The following is a 13,087-nucleotide window of genomic DNA, read 5'->3' as shown; positions in this document are numbered from 1 at the left end:
AATAGGGAATCCTTTCCCCATTTCTTGTTCTTGTCAGGTTTGTCAAAGATCAGATAGTTGCAGATGTGTGGTATTATTTCTGAGGGCTCTGTTCTGTTCCATTTATCTATATCTCTGTTTTGGTACCAGTACCATGCTGTTTTGGTTACTGTAGCCTTGTAGTATAGTTTGAAGTCAGGTAGTGTGATGCCTCCAGCTTTGTTCTTTTGGCTTAGGATAGACTTGGCAATGCAAGCTTTTTTTTGGTTCCATATGAACTTTAAAGTAGTTTTTTCCAATTATTTGAAGAAAGTCATTTGTAGCTTGATGGGGATGGCATTGAATCTATAAATTACCTTGGGCAGTATGGCCACTTTCACGATATTGATTCTTCCTATCCATGAGCATGGAATGTTCTTCCATTTGTTTGTGTCCTCTTTTATTTCATTGAGCAGTGGTTTGTAGTTCTCCTTGAAGAGGTCCTTCACATCCCTTGTAAGTTGGATTCCTAGTTATTTTATTCTCTTTGAAGAAATTGTAAATGGGAGTTCACTCATGATTTGGCTCTCTGTTTGTCTGTTATTGGTGTATAAGAATGCTTGTGATTTTTGCACATTGATTTTGTATTGCTGAAGTTGCTTATCAGCTGAAGGAGATTTTGGGCTGAGACAATGGGGTTTTCTAGATATACAATCATGTCATCTGCAAACAGGGGCAATTTGACTTCCTCTTTTCCTAACTGAATACCCTTTATTTCTTTCTCCTGCCTGATTGCCCTGGCCAGAACTTCCAACACTATGTTGAATAGGAGTGGTGAGAGAGGGCATCCCTGTGTTGTGCCAGTTTTCAAAGGGAATGCTTCCAGTTTTTGCCCATTCAGTATGATATTGGCTGTGGGTTTGTCATAGATAGCTCTTATTATTTTCAGATACGTCCCATCAATACCTAATTTATTGAGAGTTTTTAGCATGAAGGGCTGTTGAATTTTGTCAAAGGCCTTTTCTGCATCTATTGAGATAATCATGTGGTTTTTGTCTTTGGTTCTGTTTATATGCTGGATTACATTTATTGATTTGCATACGTTGAACCAGGCTTGCATCCCAGGGATGAAGCTCATTTGATCGTGGTGGATAAGCTTTTTGATGTGCTGCTGGATTCGGTTTGCCAGTATTTTATTGAGGATTTTTGCATCGATGTTCATCAGGGATATTGGTCTAAAATTCTCTTTTTTTGTTGTGTCTCTGCCTGGCTTTGGTATCAGGATGATGCTGGCCTCATAAAATGAGTTAGGGAGGATTCCCTCTTTTTCTATTGATTGGAATAGTTTCAGAAGGAATGGTAGCAGCTCCTCTTTGTACATCTGGTAGAATTCGGCTGTGAATCCATCTGGTCCTGGACTTTTTTTGGTTGGTAGGCTATTAATTATTGCCTCAATTTCAGAGCCTGGTATTAGTCTATTAGGAGATTCAACTTCTTCCTGGTTTAGTCTTGGGAGGGTGTATGTGTCAAGGAATTTATCCATTTCTTCTAGATTTTCTAGTTTATTTGTGTAGAAGTGTTTATAGTATTCTCTGATGGTAGTTTGTATTTCTGTGGGATCGGTGGTGATATCCCCTTTATCATTTTTTATTGCATCTATTTGATTCTTCTCTCTTTTCCTTTTTTATTAGTCTTGCTAGTGGTCTAACAATTTTGCTGATCTTTTCAAAAAATCAACTCCTGGATTCATTGATTTGTTGAAGGGTTTTTTTGTGTCTCTAGCTCCTTCAGTTCTGCTCTGATCTTAGTAATTTCTTGCCTTCTGGTAGCTTTTGAATATGTTTGCTCTTGCTTCTCTAGTACTTTTAATTGTGATGTTAGGGTGTCAATTTTAGATCTTTCCTGCTTTCTCTTGTGGGCATTTAGTGCTATAAATTTCCCTCTACACACTGCTTTGAATGTGTCCCAGAGATTCTGGTATGTTGTGTCTTTGTTCTCATTGGTTTCAAAGAACATTTTTTTTTTTTAATACTTTTAAGTTTTACGGTACATGTGCCCAACGTGCTGGTTAGTTACATATGTATACGTGTGCCATGTTGGTGTGCTGCACCCATTAACTCGTCATTTAACCTTAGGTATATCTCCTAATGCTATCCCTCCTCCCTCCCCTCACCCCACAACAGGCCCCGGTGTGTGATGTTCCCCTTCCTGTGTCCATGTGATTTCTGCCTTCATTTCGTTATGTACCCAGTAGTCATTCAGGAGCAGGTTGTTCAGTTTCCATGTAGTTGAGTGGTTTTGAGTGAATTTCTTAATCCTGAGTTCTAGTTTGATTGCACTGTGGTCTGATAGACAGTTTGTTGTAATTTCTATTCTTTTACATTTGCTGAGGAGTGCTTTATTTCCAACTATGTGGTGAATTTTGGAATAAGTGTGATGTGGTGCTGAGAAGAATGTATATTCTGTTGATTTGGGGTGGAGAGTTCTGTAGATGTCTATTAGGTCCGCTTGGTGCAGAGCTGAGTTCAATACCTGGATATCCTTGTTAACTTTCTGTCTCGTTGATCTGTCTAATGTTGACAGTGGGGTGTTAAAGTCTCCCATTATTATTGTGTGGGAGTCTAAGTCTCTTTGTAGGTCTCTAAGGACTTGCTTTATGAATCTGGGTGCTCCTGTATTGGGTGCATATATATTTAGGATAGCTAGCTCTTCTTGTTGAATTGATTCCTTTACCATTATGTAATGGCCTTCTTTGTCTCTTTTGATCTTTGTTGGTTTAAAGTGTTTTATCAGAGACTAGGATTGCAACCCCTGCTTTTTTTTGTTTTCCATTTGCTTGGTAGATCTTCCTCCATCCCTTTATTTTGAGCCTATGTGTTTTTCTGCATGAGAGATGGGTCTCCTGAATACAGCACACTGATGGGTCTTGACTCTTTATCCAATTTGCCAGTCTTTATCTTTTAATTGGAGCATTTAGCACATTTACATGTAAGGTTAATATTGTTATGTGTGAATTTGATCCTGTCATTATGATGTTAGATGGTTATTTTGCTCATTAGTTGATGTAGTTTCTTCCTAGCATTGATGGTCTTTACAATTTGGCATGTTTTTGCAGTGGCTGGTATAAGTTGTGCCTTTCCATGCTTCCTTCAGGAGCTCTTGTAAGGCAGGCCTGGTGGTAAGGCAAGCAAATCTCTCAGCATTTGCTTGTCTGTAAAGTATTTTATTTCTCCTTCACTTATGAGGCTTAGTTTGGCTGGATATGAAATTCTGGGTTGAAAATTCTTTTATTTAAGAATGTTGACTATTGGCCCCCACTCTCTTCTGGCTTGTAGAGTTTCTGCTGATAGATCCGCTGTTAGTCTGATGGGCTTCCCTTTGTGGGTAACCTGACCTTTCTCTCTGGCTGCCCTTAACATTTTTTCCTTCATTTCAACTTTGGTGAATCTGACAATTATGTGTCTTGGAGTTGCTCTTCTTGAGGAGTATCTTTGTGGTGTTCTCTGTATTTCCTGAATTTGAATGTTGTCCTGCCTTGCTAGGTTGTGGAAGTTCTCCTGGATAATATCCTGCAGAGTGTTTTCCAACTTGGTTCCATTCTCCCCGTCACTTTCAGGTACACCAATCAGATGTAGATTTGGTCTTTTCACTTAGTCCCATATGTCTTGGAGGCTTTGTTCATTTCTTTTTACTCTTTTTTCTCTAAGCTTGTCTTCTCACTTCATTTCGTTCATTTGATCTTCCATCACTGATACCCTTTCTTCCAGTTGATCTAATCGGCTACTGAAGCTTGTGCATGCATCACGTAGTACTTGTGCCATGATTTTCTTCTACTTCAGTTCATTTAAGGTCTTCTCTACACTGGTTATTCTAGTTAGCCATTCATCTAATCTTTTTTCAAGGTTTTTAGCTTCTTTGCAATGGGTTCTAACATCCTCCTTTAGCTCGGAGAAGTTTGATCGTCTGAAGCCTTCTTCTCTCAACTCATCAAAGTCATTCTCTGTCCAGCTTTGTTCCATTGCTGGAGAGGAGCTGCGCTGCTTTGGAGGAGAAGAGGCGCTCTGATTTTTAGAATTTTCAGCTTTTCTGCTCTGGTTTCTCCCCATCTTTTGGTTTTATCTACCTTTGGTCTTTGATGATGGTGACGTACAGATGGGGTTTTGGTGTGGATGTCCTTTCTGTTTCTTAGTTTTCCTCCTAACAATCAGGACCCTCAGCTGCAGGTCTGTTGGAGTTTGCTGGAGGTCCACTCCAGATCCTGTTTGCCTGGGTATCACCAGCAGAGGCTCAGTTGGAAATGCAGAAATCACCCGTCTTCTGCGTCGCTCATGCTGGGAGCTGTATACAGCAGCTGTTCCTATTCAACCATCTTGGAACCTCCCCCATGGATCTTTTCTTTATCCCTGACCTCTACGAGTTTGATTATTGAATGTCTTGAGGCAGTCTTATATGGGTAAATCTGCTTGATATTCTAAATCCTTCTTGTACTTGAATATTGATATCTTTCTCAAGGTTTGAAAAGTTCTCTGTTACTAACACTTTAAATAAACTTCCTACCCCAGTCTCTCTAATTCCTCTTTAAATTCAATAACTTTTAGATTTGTTCTTTTAAGGTTATTTTCTAGACCTTGTGGGCATGTTTTATTTCTTTTTATTCTTTTTCCTTCTGTCTCTTTTGACTGTGTATTTTCAAATAGACTGTCTTGAAGCTCACTAAATCTTTCTTCTGCTTGATCAGTTCTGCTTTTGAGACACTCTGAGGTATTCTTCAGTATTTCAGTTGAATTTTTCAGCTCCAGAATTTCTGCTTGATTTTGTAAAAACTATCTCTACTCTTTTTTAAAGTTTTCTGATAGGATTCTGAGTTCCTTCTTTGTGTTGTCTTGAATTTCTTTGAGTTTCCTCAAATGACTATTTTAAATTATCTTTCTGAAAGATCACATATCTCTGTCACTCCAGAATTAGTCACTTGTGCCTTGTTTATTTTGTTTGGTGAGGTCATATTTTATTGGATGGTCTTGATGCTTGTGGATGTTCATCAGTGTCTGGGCATTGAAGACTTAGATATTTATTGTAGTCTTTGAACTCTGAGCATGTTTGTGACCATTCTTCTTGGGAAAGCTTTTTGTGTATTCAAAGGTAATTGAATGTTATCTTTGGTCACTGTAGCCATATTTGCATTAAGGGGCACTCCAAGCCCAATGCTGTGACTCTTGAAGACTTATAGAGGCACAAACTTAGTGGTCTTGAGTAAGATCTGAGATAATTCTCTGGATCACCAGGCAGAGACTTTTGTTCTCTTCACTTCCCTTCCCCCAAACACAGTCTCTATCTCTCTGTGCTTAGCTGCCTGAAGCTGGGGGAGGACTGACACAAGCACCCTTTGGCCACCATAATTGGGACTGTGCTGAGTCAGATCTGAAGCTGGCACAGCGCTGGGTATCACTCAAGACCTGTGGCAACCAATGCCTGGCTACTGTCAGTGTTCACTCAAGGCCCAAGGCCTCTTTAGTCATCAGGTGGTGAATCCAGCTAGACTTGTTTCCTTTCCTTCAGGGTGACAAGCTCCCCCTTGGCCCATGGTAAGTCCAGAAATGCCATCTGGGAGTCAATGCTGGAGTCAGGAACCTTAGGAATCTACTTGGTGCTCTATTCCCCTGCAGCTGACCTGGCACTCACAGAACAAGATAAAGTCCTTCCCACACTTTCCTCTCCTTTTCTCAACCAGAGGAGTCTTTTCACCATGGCCACCACTGCCCCAACCCTGCAGCAAGTACTGCCTGGCTACTGCTAATGTTCACTCAAGGCCCAAGGCCTCTTCCATCAGCCTGTGGTAAATGCTGCCAGGCCTGAGTCTCTCCCCTGAGGGCAGTAGGCTCCCCTGTGACCCAGGGTTAATCCAGAAATGCCATCCAGGAGCAAGAGAGAAGTCACTGGGGGAGGTGCTACACGCTTTTAAACAACCAGATCTCACGAGAACTCACTCACTATTGTGAGGACAGTGTCAAGGGGATGGTGCGAAACCATTTATGAGAAACTGCCCCATGATCCAATCACCTCCCACCAGGCCCCGCCTCCAACACTGGGAATTACAATTGAACATGAACTTTGGGTGACAACACATATCCAAACCATATCATGAGTCCTAAATACCTACTCCCCGGAAGCCTTAGGTACTCTAGGTAAGATAAATTACAAATTCTAGCCAGGCATGGTGGCACATGCCCATAGTCCCAACTACTCAGAAGGCTGGAATGGGAGGATTGCTTGAGCCCCTGAGTTAGAGGCTGCAGTGAGCTATGATTGTATCACTGTACTCCAGCCTGAGTGACAGAGTGAGACCCTGTTAAAAAAAAAAATCCAAATTCCTCCAGCCTGTAAAGGTACCCATTACATTGATTGTAAGTGCCTCTTTTTATTGATCTAGTTCCTTCACTTGCTGTGAGCTCATCAAAGGCAAATGTCCTGTTTTGTTTACCTGTGTATTTCCACATCTTGCCACCAACCTCCTCATCCCCCACTCCAAGTGCCTCCTATAGAGCCTGACACATATTTGAAGTTCAATGATTGCTTGCCGAATAAGGGAACACTAAAACAAGCTATTGGGCATTAGACTCCCAGAGGTCCTTATGAGAAGTAAAGGCACCTCCTTAGAGTCTTTGGAGAGTTCTACTGAAAAGCTGGGAGTACAGTAGAAATAGTATAGGTTCTACAGTCAGAAGATCCTAGGAATGTCATTCAGTGTCATTGGTCCTTAGTTTCCTAATCTGTAAAATGGAGATAGTATATAGTACCATCCTAATATTATCATTAAAAAGAGTTTATTTTCCCATAATCTATGACACATGGAGGAGAGTGGCAGCCATGTGTAATCTGAAAAGCTTTCACCGTAGAATTCTAACCCATGCCCTATATGAGACTCTCTGGTCTAGGTCTGAAGAAAAGAGAGTTGGGTTGGAATGGAGGAGTATATGAAGTTCTGGGAGAACTCAGAAGCCCTAGACAGTGAATGTAAGTAGTGGAGCTGACTCCCAGAAGGAAGATGAAGACAGAAAACATGAGAGGACAGGATAGTGGTGAAGGAAGGTCACAGCTGGGTCTCATTGTTGTCCCTAAAGACCAAAGATAAATACTAGGAAAAAGCCATGAAGATCTCATTATGGTTGTCTTATGGATCCTGTCTGTTTCTGTGGGGTTCCATAGTCCAAATTGATGGAGAATGTCAGAAGAATGTGAAAGCATGCTTAGGATGTCAACTTGGTCAGGGTTTGGGGTAGAAAGAAGCTGTGCAGGTGCTTTTATTCTGCATTGTCCTTGTGAGAAAAACAGAATCCAAAATTGAAAAGTGAGGTTGGCAGTGGAGCAGGAGACTAGCAGGCCTATCACCTACTGTGCAGGAGGAAAGCCATGTGAGTACTCTGACAACCAAAAGAAAGCCCCAGAGAGGGGTCCCAGTAAGATTTTCAGGAGATACTCTGTCTCCTGGCCTCCCACATTGATGTAGCCAAGGTCTTCATCATATCTTTCCTGGAATGTTACAGGAGTCTCCCCACTGATCTCTGTACTATCTATTATTGCTTCCCTTAAGCATCTACCACCAAAGTTATCTTTTTCCCCCTCTGTTTTTATAGATATATTAAAAAGTGTAATCATATATACATTTACACATACATATATATGCACATATACATATATTGCTTTTAATTATTTTATTTAAAAGGAATTGGATTATACATAGTTTTCTGTAGCTCTCTTTTCTCACCCAATAAAATCTATGAAGTTCTCTCTAAGTCTTCTGGGAATTCTTCAATTCATACTTTTTTATGGTTACATAATATTCTGCAGTGTATATATGCCGCAATGTATTCAGTTTGGGGCATCTATAAACATCAATAACCAGTTCAGCAACAATATATATATATATGTTTTTTTTCTATCTTTAGAAACTGCTATTTTTATTTATATAAGATAAATTCACAGAAGTAGGTTTGCTAGATCGAAGGATATATTACTTTGAATATTATTAATAATAGATGTCATTGGCTAGCTTTCAAAATAGCTAAGTAAATGACTATTGCAACCGGCAGTGTAAGAGAGTACTCTTTATTCCCCCACATCCCTGCCAGCAATAGATATGATAGTTCTTTTTTTATTTTTGTCAGTCTGGTGGGTGCAAAAAGATGTTTCATTGTTATTTTAATTTGGATTTCTATGACTGTCAGTGAGTTGAGCATATTTGATGCCATTTGCATATGCCCTTTTATGAACTGCATTTTGATATAATTTGTTCTATGTATTGTGATTTAGTTGTTTTGTTAATTTATAATTTATTTCCATAGTAGAGAATTAACTCTTTAGGTACAATCAGAATAAACATTTTAATAAAACTATTGTTTATTATCTTTGTTATATCCTTTTTGCAAAAATACATTAACTAAATTTTTATTGAGACACAATTCACATGCCATAAAATTTAGCTTTATAAGTGTACGAATTCATTGGTTTTTAGTATATTCACAAGGTTGTACAACCATCACCACAATCTAATTCCAGAATATATTTATCACCCTAAAGGAACCCTGTACCTATTAGCGGTCACTTCCATTTCCCTGTTCCTCCAGGCACTGACGACCGCAAATATGCTGTCTGTACGAATTTGCCTATTCTTGACATTTACAATATGTGGCTTTTTGTGTCTGTTTCATTCACTTAGCATAATGTTTCCACAATTCATCCATGTATCAAAACTTCATTTCTATTTATGGCTGAATAATAGTTCATTGTATGGCTATATCATAGTTTATCTATTCATCAACTGATAGACAGTTAAATGCTTCCATCTTTGGCCCATTAGGAATAGTGCTGCTATGGACATTTGTATACAAGTTTTTGTACAAACATATATTTTCAGTTCTCTTGGGTATACACCAAGGGTTGGAATTACTGGTCATACAGTAAGTCAGTGTTTAACCTTTGAGAAACTGCCAAACTACTTGTTTTCCAAATAAATTGTACCATTTTGTATTTTCATCAGCAATGTATGAGGATTCAAATTTTTCCATGCTTGTCATTGTCTATCTTTTTTAGTGTAGCTGCATTAGTGGGCATGAAGCACTATCTCATTGTGATTTTGATTTGTCTATTAATTTTCCTACACTGGTGTTGAAATAATATTATCCAGTGTATATCTTATCTGAAGAAATGTCTGTTCAAATATTTTGCCCATTTTTAAATTGGGTTGTCTTTTAATTGTTTAGTTGTAATGGTTATTTATATGTTATAGACACTAGACTCATCATTTGTATAGTTGCAAATATTCTCTCTCATTCTGTGTGCTATCTATTCACTTTCTTGATACTGTCCTTTGCAGCACTAAAGTTTATAATTCAATGAAGTCTAATATATCTACTTTTTCTTTGATTGATTGTGCTTTTGGTGTCATAGCTAAAAAAAACTACGGCTTAATGCAGCATTATGAAGACTTAGAAAAAAATATAGATATAAGACATTCATGGTTTCAGCTCTTTAGGTCTTTGATCCATTGGGAGTTAATTTTTATGTAAATAGTGTTATGTGGAATTACAACTTAATTCTTTCATATGTGGATAGCCAGGATCATTTTCTATCTCAGGATCATTTGTTGAAAAGACTATTCTTTCCACACTTTATTGTACTGACACCCTTGTTGAAAATCAATTGACCAAAAACATACATGTTTATTTCTGATAAACATGTATCTGATCTTTATGTCTATGCTTATGCTAGTAACATAGAGTCTTGATCACTATAGTTTTGTAGTTAATTTTGAAATTGTGAAATGTAAGTCCTCCAATCGCATTCTTTTTTAAGATTGTTTTGGCTATTCTGGGTAATTTGCATTTCCATATTAATTTTAGTACAAGCTTACAAATTTGCACACAAAGAGCAACTGAGATCTCACCTAACCTGTAGATCAACTTGAGTAGTATTGCCATCTTAACAAGATGAAGTCTTCTAATACGTGAACATGGTATGTCTTTTCATTTTATAGATCTTTAATTTCTTTCAAGGATATTTTGTAGTTTTTTCAGTGCAAGTCTTACACTACTTTTGTTAAAATTATTCCTAAGTATTTTATTCTCTTTGATGATATTATAAATGTAATTATTTTCTTAGTCTCATTTTCAGATTGTTCATCGCCTGTATATACTATTCTTTAGATCATTGACAGATTCTATTTGCTAATATTTCATTTAGAACTTTGCATCTATATTAATAAGCCATCTTAATATATAGTTTTCCTGCATTGTTGTCTATATCAGGTTTTGTTATTGGAGTTATACGGCAGGTTTTGTTTCTTTATATCATCTGGATTAGTTTAATTGCGTTGGAATTACCTGTGCTTAAGTTATATAAGAGCTCAGCTTTGACGACTGGTGACTTTTACAATAATAGATCACTAATCAGTTTTTCTATTTCTTCTCTAATAATTGATTGAGTCAAGATTTCCATTTCTTCTTAATCAGTTTTAGTAGAGTGTGTTATATTTGGAATTAATTTATTTTATATAGGTTTTAAGTTTTGTCACTATACAGTTCAAGCATGTAACTCTGGAACTTGTGTCTCCTTTTTTGTTTTAATCTTGTCTACTTTTATGATCTTTTTCCCACTTAATTAGGCTTGTAAGAGGTATGTCTGTTTTATTGGTTTTCTCAAAGAATCAATTTATTTATTTATTCTATCTTTGCTTTCTTTTTTAAAACTGATTTCAAAGAGGAAAATTAAAAATAAGCTACTTATTACCTACATACCAATGAAAAATATAACACTTCATGCAAAAATAATATAAGATGCTATAAAAGCAGTACTTAATTATTAAAGAAAGACAATGAAAAATTAAGGGACCAAGTGCCGATTTTAAACTAGGAAAATAACAGTGAAATAAACCAATCAGGAAAAATGAATCAATAAAGAGTAAAGCTGAAATCAAAGATCTTTCAAAACCCCAAGTTTTTCTTTCTTATACCTTTTCTCTCTACCTACAAGGTAGAGACAAGTTCTTAGCCTAAAGTATGGCACCTGCAGCAATTTATGTTCTAGTTCCTGTCTACCTTTTAGCTACATTAGTTGACACTCCTCATCTCACTTCATGATCCAACAGTGCCAAATTATTTGAGGTTGCCAAAATACATTCTTTTCTTGTCTTCATTTAATTGCATGTACCATTCCCACTTGTTGCAATAAATTTCATCTTCTTGCACCTGGTAAACTCTTTTTTATCTTTTAAGACATAGCTTTATGGCACCTATGTAGGAAGTTTCTTGACTTCTCCACCAGATAGAACAAATTTTTCTTTCTCTGAGCTACATATACCTGTATCTTTATATAGCTTCACTATTGCTTTCATTGCAGCTTGCATCTGCCTCTCTTACAAGACTCTGAGCACCTTGGAGGCAGAAATTATACCTTACTGTCTCTATAATGACTCCTAGCTCAGTGTTTAGAATGTATTAGTCAAGCAATATTTATTGAATGAGTGAATGAATGTCATGACTGTAATATTCAATTATCCCAAGTCCTTCTTTGCTGGAATATTCTCTCGGAGTCCTTTCTATGCTTGCTTTCTCTACTTTCTGGACTTTTGGCCCATCATAACCTTTTATTTAATGCCTTCTGCTTCTAGCAAATCAATAAAATTACTTGACCTAAAGTCTCTAACACCCTTCTGAGTGATGAATCATTAAATGGTTCTTTGTTTTCCCCCTGGTTTTAGTTGGCCTTCAGGTATCATTTCTCATACGAAGCCCCTTTATCTTTTTACTTCCTTCATTGATTCTAGGACATCATTCTCCCTGAGTACTCATTCTAAATTTCTTCACTTATCCCCTTCTGCATGACTTGCACTGGGGAGGCATAGTCGTCTTCTCCATTCCAAGTGTTCTTATGCATCCCCATGGCTTCTGTGTCTACTTCTAAATTGAAGATTCTCAAATCAGTCAATAACTCCAGCCTGGACTTATCTTAAATTCCAAGATAACATTTCTGTCAACTTACTAGATGTCCCATAGCCTCCTCAAATTCAATTGCATGCTCTTCCTTTAAGCGCCTCTTCCTTTTGTATTTCTTATCTTCAGGAATGGTGGAAATATTTCCCAAGTCACTTGATCTGTAAATGGTATCGTCTTTGCCTCTCTCTTGCTCACTGCTCATGTCATCAAATTTTGTTCGTGCCTCTGAAAATGCTTTTCATATCTCTCCCTTGTCTTCATTCCCATGGATAGAGTCCTATATCCAATCTCATCATCTTTCTCTTACATTGTAGTAATAACATTCTAATTGCTTTCTCTGCATCCAGTCTCTTTCCATCTAATGTATTCCTTACTCAGTTTTTGTTTTTGTTTTAGTTCTAAAACATAAGTCAGCTAATGTTTCACCACTAACAACATCTTTGTTAGTGTCCTACTACCCAAGGGATAAAATACACTACACTCAAGACACTCCACAACCTTTTGTATATTTTTTAAGTTTATGTCCAGTTTCTCCCCACCACATACCTTACACTTCAGGCACACAGACATCTCCATTTTCTAAGACCACTGTATTCATGTATTTGAATACTTGTTTAATACCTGTTGCCACCCACTTGACTGTAAACTCCATGAGATCAGAGACTGTCTTATTTACTATTGTATCCATAGTGATCACAAACATACCTGGCAAATAGCAAGTAAATAAATGTTCTCCCATTCTTCTTTGCCTTTGCTGTTCCATTTACGTGTGGTGCTCTTCTCCTATTTTCTTTTCTATTGGGGGATGTCTATTCACTCATCCTTGAAGACCTAGGCTAAATATCAGTTTCTCCATGATGGATGACCTAAACACATCCTTCTCCAATTCAAACAAGTAAATTTCCTTCTCTGTACACCTAAACCATTTCCTTCAAAATGTCTATTTGCATTTACCTCCTTGTGCTGTAATTACCTGAGTAAGCATCTCCTACTTTGCTAGATTCAAACTCTTAGGGAGGGAGAGAATGAGTCTTACGCATGTGTAGTTTCGAATATTGCACTTCACAGTGAAGAGGTCGCTTCTCAACCAACATTTGAGCTGGAAGAAGGTAGAGTCAGACTTGTATCTTTGGTAATGTAAA

The 13,087-nt window shown here is 37.6% G+C and overlaps 1 long non-coding RNA gene across 1 annotated transcript in view; it reads left to right on the top strand.

Annotated features, from left to right (window-relative positions):
• LOC124905982 (uncharacterized) overlaps positions 1–13,087 on the top strand; it is a 69,911-nt gene that overhangs the window by 26,121 nt on the left and 30,703 nt on the right. The window lies entirely within an intron of this gene.

Source organism: Homo sapiens, chromosome 2, assembly GCF_000001405.40.
Source record: "Homo sapiens chromosome 2, GRCh38.p14 Primary Assembly".
NCBI classification, from domain to species: domain Eukaryota; kingdom Metazoa; phylum Chordata; class Mammalia; order Primates; family Hominidae; genus Homo; species Homo sapiens.
The sequence above is the reverse complement of the archived record's forward strand: the minus strand, read 5'-3'. Positions and strand labels throughout refer to the sequence as shown.